General features: G+C 56.4%; 1 protein-coding gene across 12 annotated transcripts in view, besides 2 other annotated features; it reads right to left on the bottom strand.

Moving 5' to 3' along the window:
• The window catches only part of MICALL1 (MICAL like 1), a 36526-nt gene that overhangs the window by 2880 nt on the left and 14715 nt on the right, over window positions 1-18931 (bottom strand). For 2 of the 12 annotated variants that reach the window (XM_011530471.3, XM_047441554.1), the window contains exons 6-16: window positions 17517-17971; window positions 15226-15283; window positions 13900-14282; window positions 12817-12987; window positions 12117-12532; window positions 8010-8144; window positions 7264-7390; window positions 7055-7145; window positions 6831-6904; window positions 2749-2863; window positions 2124-2197 (exon numbers count right to left, since the gene is read on the bottom strand). In XM_011530471.3, the coding sequence (XP_011528773.1) occupies window positions 2124-2197; window positions 2749-2863; window positions 6831-6904; window positions 7055-7145; window positions 7264-7390; window positions 8010-8144; window positions 12117-12532; window positions 12817-12987; window positions 13900-14282; window positions 15226-15283; window positions 17517-17971 (2099 nt within the window). The other 10 variants (NM_001410818.1, XM_011530472.3, XM_047441552.1 and 7 more) reach the window with 10 other exon arrangements.
• Window positions 5307-6108: an enhancer, noted in NCBI's record as "H3K27ac-H3K4me1 hESC enhancer chr22:38329842-38330643 (GRCh37/hg19 assembly coordinates)". NCBI's record gives its function as "activates a minimal SCP1, AML or CMV promoter by ChIP-STARR-seq in primed H9 embryonic stem cells {active_cell/tissue: H9 hESC(primed)}" and the evidence as "EXISTENCE:reporter gene assay evidence [ECO:0000049][PMID:30033119]".
• Window positions 6109-6911: an enhancer, noted in NCBI's record as "H3K27ac-H3K4me1 hESC enhancer chr22:38329039-38329841 (GRCh37/hg19 assembly coordinates)". NCBI's record gives its function as "activates a minimal SCP1, AML or CMV promoter by ChIP-STARR-seq in primed H9 embryonic stem cells {active_cell/tissue: H9 hESC(primed)}" and the evidence as "EXISTENCE:reporter gene assay evidence [ECO:0000049][PMID:30033119]".

Genomic DNA, 18931 nt, shown 5'->3' with positions numbered 1-18931 from the left:
AATTTTTGTATTTTTAGTAGAGACGGGGTTACACCATGTTGGGCCAGGCTGATCTCAAACTTCTGACCTCAGGCGATGAGCCCGCCTCAGCCTCCTAAAGTGCTGGGATTACAGGCGTGAGCCACCGTGCCTGGCCCCACTTATCTTTTTTTTTTTTTTTTTTTTTTTTGAGACGGAGACTTGTGCTGTCGCCCAGGCTGGAATGCAGTGGCACGATCTCGGCTCACTGCAACCTCTGCCACCTGGGTTCAGGCGATTCTTCTGCCTCAGCCTCCCGAGTAGCTGGGATTACACGCAAGCGCTGCCATGCGCGGCTAATTTTTGTATTTTTAGTAGAGACAGGGTTTCACCATGCTGGCCAGGCTGGTCTCGAACACCTGACCTCGTGATCTGCCGGCCTCGGCCTCCCAAAGTGCTGGCATTACAGGCGTGAGCCACCGCGCCTGGCCCCCATTTATCTTTAAAAGGCTGGATTCACCCAGGCTGGTGCCCACAGCTCTGTTACTTACAACACAAACGCTGTCAGAGCAAGAGAAACCTTCAAAATCATCTGTCTGAGCCCCTAATTTTATAGACAAGGAAAATGTAGGCCTTTGAAATTGACTAATACCAACTGAGCCCTTTGTAGGGCCAGGGCCCTCAGCTAAGTTTTACACATTATCTCAGTAATCCCAGCACACACCTGTGAGGGGGTGCCATTTTCACCCGCATTCTGCAGATATGAAGAATGAGACCAGAGTGGTAGAGTGGCCAGCTCAAAGTCACCCAGCTCATAAGTGCCAGAGCTGGGACTAGAACTCAAGTAGTCTGACTTGGCCTGAGTCAAGACCTAACCACAAGGCCACAAAGTGAGGTACTGGTAAAACCAAGACCAAAACCCAAATCCTGGCCAGGAACACTGGCTCACGCCTGTAATCCCAGCATTTTGGGAGGCCGAGGTGGGCAGATCGCTTGAGGCCAGGAGTTCGAGACCAGCCTGGTCAACATGATGAAACCCCGTTTCTACTAAAAATACAAAAAAATTAGCCAGGGCCGGGCGCAGTGGCTCACACCTATAATCCCAGCACTTTGGGAGGCCGAGGCGAGCGGATCACTTGAGGTCAGGAGTTCAAGACTAGCCTGGCCAACATGGCGAAACCCCATCTCTACTAAAAGTACAAAAATTAGCCGGGTGTGGTGGCAGCTAATCCCAGCTACTGAGGAAGCTGAAGCAGAATTGCTTGAACTTGGGAGGCGGAGGTTGAGTGAGCTGAGATCGTACCACTGCACTCCAGCCTGGGTGACAAAAGCAAGACTCTGTCTCAAAAAAAAAAAAAAAAAAATTAGCTGGGTGTGATGGCATGCGCCTGTAGTCCCAGCAACTCAGGAGGCTGAGACAGGAGAATTGCTTGAACCTAGGAGGCAGAGATTGCAGTAAGCCAAAATCACACCACTGCACTCCAGCCTAAACAACAGAGTGGGACTCTGTCTCAAAAAAAAAAAAAAGAAAAGAAAAAAAATCCTTTGACTTACAGTCCAGTACTTTTTTTTTTTTTTTTTTTGAGACTGAGTCTCGCTCTGTCACCCAGGCTGGAGTGCACTGGCGTGATCTCGGCTCACTGCAAGCTCCACCTCCCGGGTTCACACCATTCTCCTGCCCCAGCCTCCCGAGTAGCTGGGACTACAAGCTCTCGCCACCACGCCTGACTAATTTCTTGTATTTTTAGTAGAGACGGGGTTTCACCGTGTTAGCCCTGATGGTCTTGATCTCCTGTCCAGTACTCTTTTAACTGTTTCAAGCACCACTTGGTCCCCAGGAAGCACTGCTATTTGGGCCCACGGACTCCAACAAAACCAGCTGCAGATCTCAAGGGGGAATGCACAGCTGAGGGCAAATCCACCCTGGGAAGATGCCTCCCATATACCACAGTCGTCTCTGTAGGCATCAGGGCATCCCACGGCTACCCTCCAAGCCTAAGCCACAGCCTTCCTGGCTGTATGCTGGCCTCTCTTGCTACACACAGCCCTCTCTGCACAACAGAGGCTGCGGAGTTTGTGCACAGCCATCCTGGTAGTGCCCACTCCAACCCTCCCTTCAACCAGTCCCTCCCTTCCAACCCCAATGCCGAAGTTCAAGTGCTCACCAGCCTCATCCCCAGCAAGGGCCTCACCTTTCTTCTTGATCATGGCTTCCAACATCTTGTCTTCCTCTTCCTCCCTGAAATAAGCAGCAGCAGTTAAGCTGGGCGTGGTGGCTCACACCTGTAATCCCAGCACTTTGGGAGGCCAAGGTGGGTGGATCACCTGAAGTCAGGAGTTCGAGATCAGCCTAGCCAACATGGTGAAACCCCATCTCTACTAAAAATACAAAAAGTAGCTGGGTGTGGTGGCTCATGCCTGTAATCCCAGCTACTCGGGAGGCAGAGGTAGGAGAATCGCTTGAACCTGGGAGACAGAGGTTGTAGTGAGCCGAGGTTATGCCATTGCACTCCAGCCTGGGCAACAAGAGTGAAACGCTGTCTCAAAAAAAAAAAAAAAAAAAAAAGCAGCGGCAGCTGAGAGTCCTACGGGAGGAAGGAGCAGATGCCCTCTCTGTCCACACAGGGCTGAGCAACGGTGCACTGGGATCGCTGGTAGGAGGGCAGGGCTGGCCTGGCCTGAGGCGTGGACTGTGTCTTTGGCTCTCCAGGGAGCTGCCCCACCCATGAGGCCCAGAGCCTGACCTGCTCTGGCCCTGCCCCCAGGACCCCCCACCCCTGGCCATGTCACCTCTGCCGGTCCTCATCCAGGCAGTTGATGATAGCGTTGCGCTGCTCAATGAGGGTCACAAGCTCCTGCATCAGCACCTTCTCCCGGGCCCGGTCCTCCTCCGTCCAGTCCTTTTCTGCCCAGGGAGAAAAGTTAGGGGGCATGAGTGGTAGGAAAGCCCTCTTCCTCCCCAGGCCACCAGGAGCCACTGCCTAAGTGCGGCAGGCCAGCCCCATGCTAAATACCATGCAAGAAACTAAGCGCAGAAAGGAAGGGCCCCGATAGGTGGGGCTTACAAGTTCTTTTTTTTTTGTTTTTTTTTTTGAGACGGAGTCTCACTCTGTCGCCCAGGCTGGAGTGCAGTGGCGTGATCTTGGCTCACTGCAGGCTCCGCCTCCCGGGTTCACGCCATTCTCCTGCCTCAGCCTCCCGAGTAGCTGGGACTACAGGCACCTGCCACCACGCTCAGCTAATTTTTTATATTTTTAGTAGAGACAGGGTTTCACCATGTTGGCCAGGATGGTCTCGATCTCCTGACCTCGTGATCCACCCGTCTCAGCCTCCCAAAGTGCTGGGATTACAGGCGTGAGCCACCGCGCCCGGCCAGGGCCTACAAGTTCTTAGGGAAAAGAAAGTTGTGACAGAAGAGACCAAGGACACCAGGCTGCCTACCAAAGAGCCCTGCAAGGGGCCCCAGCAGGGCCAGCACAGCACCTACTGCAAGAACAGGGCAGCACCAAGGGTCTCATGCTCATGTTCATTCATCCATTCAACAAATGTTCACTAGGTGGCTTCTGGCGGGAGGCAAGATTCAGGAGGGACAGAGTGGGGCAGGGGCGAGGAGACAACAGGGAACCCCAGGGCTCCTCCAGCAGGAGAAGCAACACAACCCAAGTGACATACTGGGACATTTATCCAAGGCTGTGGAGGAAGGTAGACTAGAGGGGATGCTGGGGGCAGGGAGCCCAGCAGGAGGCTCCCCTGAAGCTGGGCACACCTGCTGCCCCTCCTGCCTCCTTTCCTCTCAAGGCCCCAGCCAACCCACAGGACCACCCCCAGGGGCCCACTGGGGCCCTAGTATTTCCCCCTCCCCCAGCCTGCAGGCTCCAGGGATGAGTGCCCACACTTGGCCTTCCCTCCACAACATCTACCGCCACAGGCTTCCCTGGCTTCAAATAAATATCCTAGGCCGGGCCCGGTGGCTCACTCCTGTAATCCCAGCACTTTGGGAGGCCGAGGCAGGTGGATCACCAGAGGTCAGGAGTTCGAGACCAGCCTGGCCAAATGGTGAAACCTCGTCTCTACTAAAAATACAAAAATTAGCGGGGTGTGGTGGCACACACCTGAAATCCCAGCTACTAGGGAGGCTGAGGCAGGAGAATTGCTTGAACCTGGGAGGTGGAGGTTGCAGTGAGCTCAGATCACGCCACTGCACTCCAGCCTGGGCAACAGAGTGAGACTCTGTCTCAAAAAAAAAAAAAAAAAAGTAAATATCCTTAGCCAAGCGTGGTGGTGGGCGCCTGTAATCCCAGCTACTGGGGAGGCTGAGGCAGGAAAATCGCTTGAACCTGGGAGGCGGAGGTTGCAGTGAGCTGAGTTCACGCCATTGCACTTCAGCCTGGATGTCACAGTGACACTCCATCTCAAAAAAATAATAGGCCGGGTGCGGTGGCTCACGCCTGTAATCCCAGCACTTTGGGAGGCCGAGGTGGGCGGATCACGAGGTCAGGAGATCAAGACCATCCTGGCTAACACGATGAAACCTTGTCTCTACTAAAAATACAAAAATTAGCCGGGTGTGGTGGCGGGCGCCTGTAGTCCCAGCTACACGGGAGGCTGAGGCAGGAGAATGGCGTAAACCCAGGAGGCGGAGCGTGCAGTAAGCCAAGATCGTGCCACTGCACTCCAGCCTAGGCGACAGAGCGAGACTCTGACTCAAAAAAATAAAATAAAATAAAATAATAATAATAACAAATAGGGCCAGGGCTTGGCGCGGTGGCTCACGCCTGTAATCCTAGCACTTTGGGAGGCGGAGGCGGGTGGATCACGAGGTCAGGAGATCGAGACCATCCTGGCTAACATGGTGAAACCCCGTCTCTACTAAAAATACAAACAATTAGCCGGGCGGGGTGGCAGGTGCCTGTAGTCCCAGCTACTAGGGAGGCTGAGGCAGGAGAATGGTGTCAACCTGGGGAGGCGGAGCTTGCAGTGAGCCGAGATTGTGCCACTGCCCTCCAGCCTGGGCAACAGAGTGAGACTCCATCTCAAAAAATAAAATAAAAATAAATAAATAAATAAAATAAAATAAATAAATAAATAGAGCCAGGCGCAGTGGCTCATGCCTGTAATCCCAGCACTTTGGGAGGCTAAGGTGGGTGGATCACAAGGTCAGGAGATCGAGACCATCCTGGCTAACATGGTGAAACCTGGTCTCTACTAAAAACACAAAAAATTAGCCGGGCGTGGTGGCAGGCGCCTGTAGTCCCAGTTACTTGGGAGGCTCAGGCAGGAAAATGGCGTGAACCCGGGAGGCAGAGCTTGCAGTGAGCCGAGATCGCGCCACTGCACTCCAGCCTGGGCGACAGAGTGAGACTCTGTCTCAAAAAAAAAATAATAATAATAAATAAATAAATACCCCCCCCCAAAATAAATAAATAAATATCCTGAAGCCCCCTCAGCCACTGCCCCTTTCCCCTATGGCCTCACCTTGCCAAAATTGAGGAGCAGGTGGCCCAACCTGGTTCTGGGGACAGAGCAGGGCCTCCAAATCACCACCCAAGTTTGAATCCCACTTTGCCATTTTCCATATCTGGGGCCTGGGTAAGTTATGTCCCCAGTCTACACGTGGGGAAACTGAGACTCAGGGACATGAAATCTTTGACCAGTGTCACACAGTGAAGGTGGAGCTGGTATTTGAACCTGGCAGCCTGATGCCCCCAAGCAATGGCCCTCATGGTGTACTGTACTCGGAGCCTCATACACCAGCTTCACCTTCCAAAAGCAACATCCGGGACAGGCTGACAAGCCCGGGACGCACAGCCACCACACGGGGGCTGGAAAAGCCACAGTAAGCCCTGGGGCCGGGCTAGCCAGGGAGGCAGAGGAGCCGTGCCCGCTCTGGCCACAGGGCGCCGCTGTGGCTCTGAGTGGTGGCCACGCCCCAGCCTCCTGCAGAGTTGGGAGTGACTCACACAAGGCAGTGGAAGCCTGGGACATTCTGTGGCTTCCCCTGGGACACTCCAGCCTCCCAAATTCCCCAGTCAGTAGACAGTTCCCCTGCCACCATCCCCACAGTCTGGAGGGGCTGTGTGTGCAGGGACAGCCCCAGATCAGAGACATGGATGGAAGCCCAGCCCCGTCACCAACAGCCAAGTCCCTTGACCTCTCTGGCCCTCCACTTCCCATCTGTCAAGATGGCCCTTGCCCAGGGCTGGCACCATGCCTGAGCCATAAGAAAGTGGTCAAAAGCTTTGGCTCCCAACTCTGGAATCTCCATAGTCCTGGGGTCTCTGCCTGCAGCTGCGGTTCACTGCATTCCACGGTCACAGGGCGTGTGAGGAGCCCTCCTCACCAAACCCCAACTCGGCCACATGGTAACCATCAGCCATCAGCCCTTCAGAGGGTACAGAGTCCACGTCCACTGTCTCCTGGTCCCAAGAACACCCGAGGACGTGGGGACCTTCATTCCCATCTTACACCTGAAGCCACTGAGGCTCAGTGAGGCTAAGAATCCTGCCCAAGGTCACACAGCAAGTTAGTGGCAGAAGAAGGAACAGTCTGACCCACGCACAAAACAGGCTGGGCTGGTCCTGGGCCTGATCTTCATTCACTGAGAGCCTGTCATCCCTGGTCCCTCGGACGTCCACACCCTACACTGTCTGTGCGGTTCCTTCTCCTACCACAGCCCCAGCCAGCTTACTGCCTGTTACAGTCTCTCCCATCCTTGGGGGTGACCCAGACAGCCCTGCCCCGCACCTCCTCCTCTGGCCCTGTCCCCAGTCTGCCTGTGCATCCTACTGGGGTTTTGTCTGCCCGCTCCCCCACTCCTCCGTGTCACCAGGCCCCAGGGCAGGTGCCAGGGGAGTGCCAGTGGCTGCACTCACCTGGCTTATTGAGGAGGCACCGGAGCTCATACTCGACATCAGCCTGGCGCTGCTCCAGGTTCTGCTGCTTGAAGCTAGGGGTGGGAATAAGGTGACTCTTAACAATTCTGCCCGAGCCCCGGCTGCCCTGCCCTGCGCTGTTACTGATGAGGGAAGAGGGTAAGGGTTCTCCATTCTAAGCTCTACGGATTCCAGGGAGGGATGCCCCAGGCGGGGGGACTCACACATAGATGAGCTCGGACTCTCGCCGCACCAGTAGGTGCTTCTCGTGGATGAGCTTGAACCAGTCCACCAGCATGTCATCCTCACGGCCCTCTGGAAGCCAGATACCCACTGAGGCCAGGGCTGGCTGCCATGCCTGGCTCAGTTCCCCGGGGAATAGAGGCTCCTGCCCCCAGCCCCACCCAGCAGGCCCTCCCAGCCGCTCCCGCACCATTCAGGCCGCCACGCAGCTTCTCCTCCAGCAGCACCCCACGGTGCTCCAGGGCATCCAGCCGGCGCTCAATGGTATCCATCTCTCCATGGATGTCCTCCTCAGGGATGTACTGGTCAGCCTGGACCTGCCCAACAGTGCCTGGTCACCTGACGGCCTGCCTGGTTGCTGCCAGGAGCCTTGCCCTCTTCTCTGGCCAGCATTGGCCACTGGTGGCTCCAGGGCCCGGGCCCTGTCCCCCACCCCAGCATGGTAAGAAGGCAGGGTCCCAGTGGGGAAGGGGCCAGTGTGGGGACAGCCACAACCCTGCATGCCACTGGTCCCAGCACCAACAGACACTCCAGAAGGTGGCATGACTCCCTGCCCTTCACGGAAACGCCTCCTCTCTGCCACTCCAGAAAGGGTATCACAATGTCAGTGAGAGTGACCTTATTACAGAGATAAACTTGAGAACACTCTAATCAGCTTAAGTAGCAGTGTTATCATGAGTGCTTGATACTTGAACTTGTTAGTAACAAATTAAATGCACCACCCACTGCTTTTGGTGGTGAAGGGCTGATCTGCTCCAAATCCCTCCAGGCTGCAAGCTAGACCTTCCAGTTGGGCCGCCAAGAGTGCTCTCTTGAGCATCTGAGGCCCACTGCCTAGCCAGCCAGCCTCCTTAGAGTCCCAGGGGAAGACTGCAGCTGCAGAGTGGGGGTTGCCAGCCCAGGCCAGCCTGGTCTCGGGGGGCTCCCAGCTGGTACCTTGCGTTTGATGAGTGGAAAGCCGTGTCCAGGGGCAGGTGGCCTCACTGGCTTGGATCCCTTGGTGGCCTTCTTTGTGGCTGGGGACGCTGCAGGTGATGGCTTCCGGTTAAAAGGATTCTCCTTGCAGGAGGACTAAAGGGAAGGAGACATGACAGAGGGTGAGCCTGGGAAGAGGGCACGTGAGACCCCAGCAGCCTCATATTTGGGAACATGGAAAGCAGGCCAGCACTCCAGGGCCAGCAGGACCCAGGCAAAGAGACAGTCTCCTTGAATTCCGTCTCTGATGCACTCAGTCATTCAATAAACATTTCCATTTCCTTTTCCAGAGCTCTTCCCGTGTGTCAGTTACTGCACTGGATACTTTTTACACTTTTTGGAGACAGTCTCATTCTGTCACCAGGCTGGGTGCAGCTGTGGCATAACCATGGCTGCACTGCAGCCTCAGCCTCCTGGGGCTCAAGCAATCCTCCCAGCTCAGCCTCTCGAGAAGCTGGGACTACAGGCTTGCACCACCACGCCTGGCTAATTTTTTGTATTTACTTTTTTTTTTTTGTAAAGACAGGTTCTCACTTTGTTGCCCAGGCTGGTCCCAAACTCCTGGGCTCAAGTGATCCTCCTGCCTTGGCCTTCCAAAGTGCTGGGATTACCACACCTGGCCTTTTTATACATTCTTGTTTAATTCTCCCAACCACCCTGCCAAGTGGATATTACAATGACCATTTCACAGCTGAGTAAACTCAAGTTCAGAGAGGTTAAGTCATTTGCTCACGGCCACACACTTCCCATGAGCCCAAGCTGGGGTGAGAATCTGTCTGTTTCAGGGCCTGGGCAGCCATCTAGCATTGAGGGGTAGTGGTTAGAACCTTGCCCATGTGGCAGGCAGTGCCCTACTGTGCCCCACTGGTGGGGGTGCCTGGCTGTGCTAGCCTCAAAGAGGGCAGGGGTTTCCCTAGAAGCACAGAATGGCATTGGGTTTAAGGCAAGACAGAGCTATGGTAGTTCATTCAGGCCTCATAACCACCCTCTCCCCGCTGGGGACTCTGAGGCTCAGAGAGGTGAAGTTCCTCACCCAGGGTCACCCAGCCAGGAAGTGTTTGACCAGCAGATGGAGTCAGAGGGTACCTCCCTCCCTGCCAGAGAAAGATCTCATCCTCTGCTGCACAGCCCAGTACCCACACACCCAGAGCCCAGGCTCTGCATCCTTCCGTGCCTCTGGGGAGACCCCCGCCCTCTCTGAGGCCAGCACAGGCCGGGCAGCTCCACTGCCAGGGCACGGCAAGGCCCTGCCCACCACACGGGCAATGTCACTATTTCCCAACCACTCTTCCCAGCTCATTGGAAACAGACGTCACTGCGAGCCCCTTACAGAGGCCTCACCTGAGACCTGGGATGCTCCAAGAAGCACTGACCCAGCTTTCCCTCGGCAGCTGCGGAGCAGGTGGAGGCCTGTGCCAGCCCAGGGAGAGAGGCTCTCGGGGTGGGAGCTGCTCTGGGGTTTCTGAAGCAGGGAGGGTGCTGGGGCCCAGGTCTGGGCACAGCAAGAAGCCAGGGCTTGGCTCCCACAGGGCAGCACCCACCCAATGACCCAGGGTGGCACCCCAAGGCCCCCACTGCCTCTGAAAGTCTCCCCTAATCCTGGGGTGACAGTGGGACAGGGGTTCCCCACAAGCAAGTGCACCCGGGGTTCTGCCCCCTCCCTCTAACACACCCAGAGGGGCCAGCAGAGCCAAGCAGCCCAAAGCCCCTGAGCCCCTCAAAGGTTTTCAGCCTTTTCTCAGCCCCAAAACTTCAGACCAATATTCACGCAGCCCAGGACACGAAACACGAGAATCCGAAGGTGACCCACCCCCGTGCCCTCCACCACCAAGGAACCAGGGGGTCTTTCGAGCACTCAGGACACTTGGTGCCGCCAGCCCCTCACCATCTGTGGGAGCCCGAGGCCCAGAGGAGGATGGGGCCTGCTCAAGGACACACAGCAGGTGGGAGGCAGAGCCAGAATCAATGCCCAAGAGGCTCTTGCCGGGACCAGGGAAGGTTCAACGATGCCTGAGGCACATGGGCAGGGTCAGGCTACAACTTCAGCTGCCCCACAAAGGCTGTCCTGCCACCCTCTACCTGGGGCCAGATGAGCCTTGGGAGCTCAGAGGCCTGCAGAGCGTTGGGCCATCCAAAGGCGCTGTGGCTGCAAGACAGGGCCCTCATGAACTGGGTGCCCAGAGGAAAGTACTGAGCCCAGGCAATCCCCAGGTTCTCAGTATGGGGCTGAGAAACAGGTGAGCCCACAGCACACAGCATACCTGGAACAGGAGCAGCCTGGATGGGTGCCCAGCCAGAACCTCCCCACGCCCATGTCACCTGAGAAAAGACAGAGCCCAGCAAGGGAGCAGGAGGACAGGATAGGGCCACGTCTGCTCTCCTCGGTAAACACCCCTCATGGCACACAACAGAAGCACCCAAGAAAGCTGTGTGTCCTGGGTCCTTCTGCCTGTTGAGGGCTGACCCCCTGCCCACTACAAACTCCACACACAGCAGCATGTACATTATAGCACCTCCCCCTGACCTGGCTGGGAGCGCCTTGGGGACAGGGACCACTATGTCCACATGACCTGTGGAGCCCAGGCAGCCATGCACATGGGAGGCATTCAGAGACCCCAGCTCCCCTGTTCCATGGCGGGGAGACCCAGGTCTCTGCAGAAGGGAGTGAATCCCTCCCCTCTGTGCTCTACTCTAGGTCACCTTCCAAAATGCCCATTATGCCTATCTCCCTGAGCAGATCGTGAGCCCCTGGAGGCCAAAGACAGGGTCTTTTTTTTTTCTGAGACAGAGTCTCATTCTGTTGCCCAGGCTGTGGGCCATCTCAGCTCACTACAACCTCCACCTCCCAGGTTCAAGCAATTCTCCTACCTCAGCCTCCCAAGTAGCCAGGATTACAGGTGCCTGCCACCACACCTGGCTAATTTTTGTATTTTTAGTAGAGATGGGGTTTCACCATGTTGGCCAGGCTGGTCTCAAACTCCTATCCTCAAGTGACCTGCCTGCCTCAGCCTCCAAAGTGCTGGGATTACAGGTGTGAGCCACCACGCCCAGCCAGGATAGGGTTTTAATACAACTCTGCCCAGGGTCTGGCATCAGTAGAGCCTGAGTGAATGGAAGAGCGGACAGACAATACGGGATGACTGGTGGCTGGTGAGTGGAACCCAAATAGGCAAGTGGAGGGGATGGGAGGCAAACAGGGGCCCTGATACATAAGACCTGGGAGGCTATGTTTGTGGACAGGTGGATAGATAGGTGGGAGCTCTGGCAGATGGATGGAAGCATGGACAGACGGGTTTGTGCCTCATTGGACAGAGTGGGTAATGGGTAGATAGACTGGCCAAGGCCACTCAGGAAGTCAGAGGCCAGTAAAGATAGAAAAGGCCCTAGACAGCCGGGGGCAGTGGCTCACGCCTGTAATTGCAGCACTTTGGGAGGCCAAGGCGGGTGGATCGTGAGGTCAGGAGATCGAGACCATCTTGGCTAACACGGTGAAACCCCGTCTCTACTAAAAATACAAAAAATTAGCTGGGCATGGTGGCGGGCGCCTGTAGTCCCAGCTACTCGGGAGACTGAGACAGAAGAATGGTGTGAACCTGGGAGGCGGAGCTTGCAGAGAGCCGAGATCACACCACTGCACTCCAGGCTGGGTGATAGAGCGAGACTCCGTCTCAAAAAAAAATAAAAAAGAAGGCCAAGCATGGTGGTTCATGCCTGTAATCCCAGCACTTTGGGAGGCTGAGGCAGGCGGATCACGAGGTCAGGAGATCGAGACCATCCTGGCTAACGGGGTGAAAACCCCACTCTACTAAAAATACAAAAAATTAGCCGGGCGTGGTGGTGGGCGCCTGTAGTACCAGCTACTTGGGGGCTCAGGCAGGAGAATGGCGTGAACCCAGGAGGCAGAGCTTGCAGTGAGCCAAGATCGCGCCACTGCACTCCAGCCTGGGTGACAGAGAGAGACTCCATCTCAAAAAAATTAAGAAAAGGCCCTGGACATTTCTGCCCTGAGACCAGACCCGCATCCACTAGAGAGGATGTCACTTTTAGTGAGGGTGAGGGGGCACTCACCTTTACCTGCAGCTGTGGGGACGAGCTTCCAGGGGAAGGCACCGGGCTCCTGTCTCCAACCAACAAGAGAGGCGTTGGGGTGGCGCCACTGCAGGGCTTGGCTGGCTGGGGACCTGAGCTGCCCCTGGTCCTGGGGGCAAGGCCAGGGCTGGCTTGAGGCATTTGTTCCACTCTAGGCTCCACTAGTTCCCCAGAGGAGGCCAGGGAGGAGTTGGTAGAGAGGCTGACAGGGTTTCCAGGGGTACCAGGGGCATGGACAGCAGGCTCTGAGGAGCTCTTGGGCACAGCTGGCGGCTCCAGAAGCTCTGCACCTGCAGTCTGGCTGGCGCTCTCAGACGACAGGCTCTCCACGCTGAGCGCTGGCGATGGTGTGGCCGAGGGCGGCTCCGAGTGCGAGAGGCGGGAGGCGTGGAGAGCTGTGCGGACGAGCACCAGGACACCTCACAAGGGGAGCACCACAAGGGCTTCCAGCCCCACCTCCCGGCTCCACTCTCAACAGAGCCGCAGGCAGCCCCAGAAACCCAAGCCCTCCACATCGAGACAGGGCCAAGGCCCAGGGAACAGCAAACGCCCGGCAGGACGGAAGTCATGAGGTGCATCCAGCCACCCGAGTCCAACCCGCCCGCCTTGCGTTCTGCCTGCTGCCTCCACTTCCCCACACTCCCCATAGCCCCCATGAGGGCACCCACAGCAAAACCACCTTGGGAATGCCAGAGGAAGAGAGGTGGCCCCTCCTCTGCCCCTGATCTGCAGTGCGGAGGCAGAGGGGAGGAGCACGCAGCCCTCGCAGCCACCAGCTCTGGGACAGGCACTGCCGGGCACCAATTTATCTCCTCGTGGCTGATGGATATGATGCTTCCAAACACATTATCTGCATTTTCCAGATGAGGCAACAGGCTTAGAGAGGAGAGGGCACTCGCCCCAGCACGGGGTGGGACTGAATCCACTGTATCTGACTCCAGAGCTCATGCTCCTCTGCTGTCCCCTGAAGCTGCCCACCACTTCCACCCAGACAGGCCAGCCTCAGCTGGGGTCCCAGGGCTCCGCTCAGACCCCCTGAGCACCTGCCTCTGCCAGCTCTGGCATGCTCTTGCCCCACTGTGAGAGGGGGTCCCATGGAACTCTCAGAGGCGGCCAGACCCAGCCATGGTGAAGGTTAGGGCCAAAAACCCAGCTCAGGGTATCAGAAGACTGGGAGAAGGTGAGGGCCAAAAACTCCAGCGTTCCTGGGTGAGGGGGGAAGCACTGGGCGGAGGAGGCCCAGCAGCCTGGAGCTGAGCCACCATGTCACATGGAGGACTACAGACAGACTCAGGGACAGTCAGAGTCATTACACCTGGTCACACATGGCCAGGTGAGAGCCCAGGTCGCTCAGGAACTGCAGCGACAGTGACAGAGTTAGGCAGGATTCAAGCAAACGCCTCCTTTCCATGAGCCCCTCGCTGCACTGAGCACACCACTAGACAGCACGTTTAACGAGCACGACAGGGAGGGTGAAGAGATGGACTCGGGCCAGACTCCGTGGGTTCAAATCCTGCCTCTCCTGCTTAAGCACTGAGAGGCTTTAGGCAAACTACTTAGCCTCTCTGTGCCTCAGTCTCCTCACCTGCAAAGTGGAGGTGACGATACCTACTCACAGGTTTGCTCTAGGATTAAATGAGAAGTCACCCATGAAACACGTGGTGCCTGGCCTGGTAGGCTCTGCCCCACCACACCCCCTCCCCAGGCCCGGGCCCCACCCCCGAGTTCCGACTGTCAGGAGAGCTCCAGGAAAGGCACTCACCCAGTGGGGACGCGCTGGGTGCGCGCGGGGCAGGGCGCTTCTTTGTCTTGGGGCTGCTGGTAGGGGTGATGCCGTACCAGGGGTGCAGGGACTTGGGTGTGGACTCCGGGTGGCCCAGGGCAGGGCTGGTGGCCAGGCTGGGTGCAGCTGGAGCCTCTTCCTCCTTGTCCTCCTCCTCCTCCTCAAAGGGGTTATAGGGTTTGGACTCCAGGCTGGCCGTTGGGCTCGGCTGGGCCACCTCCTCGGTGCCTCCATTCTCCACCTGCCTGCTGTCCTGGCTTGGTGGCCCCGGGCTGCTGCTTGGGGGAAGTGGGGCTGGCTTCTTCTTTGGTTCTGCCTGCACCAGCGTGATCCATGGGGGGTCCTTCCTGGGGGCTGGTGTCCTGGAGGAGGGGGGAAGCAGCAGAAACCATTAGCAGAGGCAAGGGTCAGCTTCCTTCTCTCTCTAGACAGTTTTGACTCTACTTCAAAGGGGGTGGATGAGAAACGGCTGTTTCCCTTCTCCCACCCCCATCCCCATGGGGACAGTCTGAAATGGAATGTTACAGTCACAGCCTTTGAGGCCCAGAGAATGTGAACCTTCAAGTCACAGAGCTGCTGTTAACCCAGCCCAGGAAAGGATCGACCAGGGGCTCTGCCACCTACAATCCATGTACCCTGGGAAAGTCACCTGCCCTCCCTCTGTATTAGTCTCCCTTTCCACTCAATGGGGACCTTAATAATCCTTGCCTCACAGGGTTGGTGTAAGGATGCAGTGAGCTATGGAGTGCAGCACTGGGCGGGGCACTGGGGCACCTGCTCAGTGCCAGGGACTCAGTAAACGTTAACAACTGGCACAGCCATGGCCCACCTGGCTCCCTACAGACCGACCACATGGGGGAAGCATGGCCCTCAAATAACAGCTGAAGTAGATGTCCTCCACGTGAAGCAGGGTCCCGTGCTGCAGGACCTGAGGGACTGGTACTACAGCTGAGCTTTTCCAGGTCTTTCTATACTCTGCTGCTAAGCCTCAAATCAACTCTATAATCAAGCCTCGGCCTCCCATGTTACAGGGCAAAGGAGCCTGGAGAGGCAACGGGTACCAGAGGTGGCTGCCTGCACCGGGCACTGCCCACAGGAGCAGGGACCTGGGGAGGGGGCCAGGCACTGGCCGCAGGAATCCCGGGGTGAGCCTCAGGAGAAGGGGTGTGGGCCCAGCTCTCCTTCCCCTCCTGAGCCCCGCCCTGCCCATCCACAGGAAGCCTCTCTCCCTACCCGGCCCCAGAGTACCCTGATTCCCACCACCAGGACCTCCAAAGCAGGAAAGCCCCTCAGGGATCGACATACCCCTCGGACGGCTTCGGTGTCCCCCTCGGCTTGGGGACAGGCAGTTCGTGCAGTCTCCCTAGATGGGAAAGGAGAGTGAGCCAGGCCTTCATGGGCAGCAGGAGGTGGGCACCCAGGGAGCCAGCCACAGCACCTGCCTCCCCAGGAGCGCCCCGCCTTCCTCCTGGCACCCTCGCACCTCCCCAGGCCAGCCCATGGAGATTAGATAAGCACCCAGGTGCCTGAGAACAGTCAGGGGTCAAGGCCAGGCCACCTGAGACCCCGTTTGCATTTCATTTGAGAAGAAACCCAAATCCCCTCAGACACCCCCCGCCAGTGTGGGCAGAAAACATCATCTCAAGTCAGCCTGGGAGCCACCTCCTCCTGGAAGTCCTGGACTCCCAAGTGTCCTCTGTGAATCCCACAGCAGCCCCTGCTCCCCTCCTTCCAACTTAGCAAGACTTCCACAATCCACTGAAACCCTTGCATCTGTGCCTGTCTCCACCTCAACACTGGGAGCACCCTGAAGGCACAGATAGGCCTGAACAGTAATCTGTGTCCCCAGCGGTCAGCTCAGATCCAGCCTCCACAAGAGCTGAACAAATAGAATGTTCTGGTGCAAGTCGCAGGGTGACCCTGGGAGTCTCTCTCCCCGTGGCCACCAATGCCTTCCCTAATGGAATGATAAGGGCTGCCCAGCAGCCTTATACAAGGAGTCTCAATCCTACAAGCTCACGGAAACCCAGGGAGGTCATCTGGGAGCATTCTACAATGTGGGGTTGGGGGAGAATGCACCCACAGAATGGGCCAGGGGTCTCCACTGCAGCTCACACTGGCTCCGGGGCCCACCTGACCCCTCTGCTCTCCCCCAAGCCCCTGAGCTCTCCCCTTCTAGACATAGACAAGCATAGAGGCTGGGCATGGAGGTCACCTGCAGTGTGCCTGTGGATGGGCCAGGACACACAGGAAGGACACCAATGTGCAGAGTCCCAGAGAGCTCGGGGACACACGGGCACATGCAGAGTGGCACTTACTACACACCCTGAAACTAAAGCCCACAAGAACAGATGCAAAAGAGCGCATGCAGAGGGAGGCAGTGTAAGGGCGGGGCCTGGGTCTGTATTGTTTGCACCGTCCCAGCATGGAGAACAGAGCACGGCAGAGGCTGCAGGAACTCGGCATTTGGGGCAGGAATTAATATCCTCAGAAACAGGCCAGGCATGGTGGCTCAGGCCTTAATCCCAGCACTTTGTGAGGCCAAGGCGGGCAGATCACCTGAAGTCAGGAGTTCGAGACCAGCCTGGCCAACATGGTGAAAACCCATCTCTACCCAAAAATACAAAAATTAGCCAGACATAGTGGTGTGCACCTGTAGTCCCAGCTACTTGGAAGGCTGAGGCAGGAGAATCGCTTGAACCTGGAAGGCAGAGATTGCAGTGAGCCGAGATTGTGCCATTGCACTCCACCTGGATGACAGAGTGAGATTCCGTCTCAAAAAAAATAAAAAGAGCCCGGCACAGTGGCTCATGCCTGTACTCCCAGCACTTTGAGAGGCTGAGGTGGGCAGATCACCTGAGGTCGGGAGTTTGAGACCAGCCTGGCCAACATGGTGAAACCTCATCTTTACTAAAAATACAAAAATTAGCCAGGCTGTGGTAGCCTGTAATCCCAGCTACTCAAGAGGCTGAGGCAGGATAACTGATTGAAGCCGGGAGGCAAAGGTTGCAGTGAGCCGAGATCGCACCACTGCACTCCAACCTGGGTGACAGAGTGGGATTCCATCTCAAAAATAATAATAATAGGCTGGGCACAGTGGCTCACGCCTGTAATCCCAGCACTTTGGGAGGCCGAGGCAGGCAGATCACCTGAGGTAGGGAGTTCAACACCAGCTTGACCAACATGGAGAAACCCCGTCTCTACTAAAAAAAAAAAAAAAAAAAAACAAAAAAAAACAAAACAAAATTAGCTGGGCATGGTGGCGCATGCCTGTAATCCCAGCTACTCAGGAGGCTGAGGCAGGAGAATCGCTTGAACCCGGGAGGTGGAAGTTGCAGTGAGCCGAGGTCAAGCCACTGCACTCCAGCCTGGGGGACAAGAGCAAAACTCCATCTCAAAAAAAAAAAAAAAAAAAAAAAAATATATATATATATATATATATATAATAACCTCAAAAACACAGGCAGGCCCCAACACAGCACAGCACACAATGGCACAGATGGAGAGGGGCCCACCAACACTCCCAGACACACAGACTTTTCAATAGACAGTGCACTGCCACCCGGTGCCCCCTGCCCTGACTGCACCCTGCTCACCGTTCACCAGGCTGCTGCTGCCAGCCTGCTCCACCAGGTTCTCCTGCTGCAGACTGGAGCGGGGCCGGGGCGTGGGGGGTGCTGGGGTGGTGCTCTCAGAGGCCTTCCTGGGGGCAGGGGTGGGGCGGCCCGCAGGGGGGCTGGCCAGCTCCTGTAGTTTGCCAGGAACCCGGGGCTTGGTAGGGATCTGCGGCCGGGCCTCAGGGCTGGCCTTGGGTCCATCGGCCTCAGCCCCTGCAGGAGCACTGGAGCTGGGGCCGCCTCCTGGAACATCCTTGGCATCTTCTGCGAGTTGCTGCTGGTGCTGCTGCTTTGGCTGTGAGAAGGGCCCAGGCCTGGTCCCCGACCGTGTCCCCGGGCCCAGCCTGGCACAGTGTTCTGCACACACAAAGGTGCCCTCCTCAGGCCCATTCTCATAAGCCCCAGGGAGCAGGGTGCTGGAGCACCGCCGACACCTGGCAGGGGACAGGACAGGGGTTCACTTAGCCAGGCAGCTGGGCCCAGGCACTGGCTACCCCTCCAGCCGCACCCAGGGCTGTCTCCTCCCTTCCCTCCTCCCAACTGCCAGCCAAGCTCGACTCCATACCCTAGACTTCCCAGAGGATAAAGAAAACAGTAACTGTCAGAAGCATAGTGGAACAATAAAATCACCAAATCACACGAACTCAGCAACAGAAATTGTGAAAAATGCCTTCAGTTTATGCTGCAAGAGGAAGAAGCAAAGGTCCCCCTGAGAGGTGGCATCCAGTGAGTGGCTGCATCCAGTAGTGGCTCAGGAAAATAAAGCAGTGGTTTTTACCCAATCAGGTGTTGTTTTGTGTTTTGTTTTCATTTTGTTTTGTTTTGTTTTTTTGAGATGGAGTCTCACTCTTGTTGTCCAGGCTGGAGTGCAATGGTGCGACCTTGGCTCACTGCAACCTCCGCCTCTCGGGTTCAAGAGATTCTCCTGCCTCAGCCTTCCGAGTGGCTGGGATTACAGGCATCTGCCACCACACCTGGCTAATTTTTTTTTGGCATTTTTAGTAGAGACGGAGTTTCACCAAGTCGGCCAGGCTGGTCTCAAACTCCCAACCTCAAGTGATCCACCTGCATAGGCCTCCCAAAGTGCTGGGATTACAGGTGTGAGCCACTACTTCCGGCTGTGTTTTGTTAATGAAATAGAATAAGATACAATGTATAAGACAGTATCATACAAGAAAGGCCAAATAGTGCTTTGTGAAACTCTTACTCCAGCTGTGCCTCTACTTACACAGTTTTATTTCAGGTAAATATTTACATCTAGTCACAGTGTCAAGTGTATTTTTTACTAGGAGTTGCTATAAAAAGTTTCTTTTTATTTTTGAGGCAGGGTCTCACTGTCACCCAGGTTGGAGTGCAGTAGTGCAGTCATAACTCACTGCAGCCTCAAACTCCTG

This window comes from Homo sapiens, chromosome 22, assembly GCF_000001405.40.
Source record: "Homo sapiens chromosome 22, GRCh38.p14 Primary Assembly".
NCBI classification, from domain to species: domain Eukaryota; kingdom Metazoa; phylum Chordata; class Mammalia; order Primates; family Hominidae; genus Homo; species Homo sapiens.
Note: the sequence above shows the minus strand (reverse complement) of the source record. Positions and strands in the feature narration are given on the sequence as shown.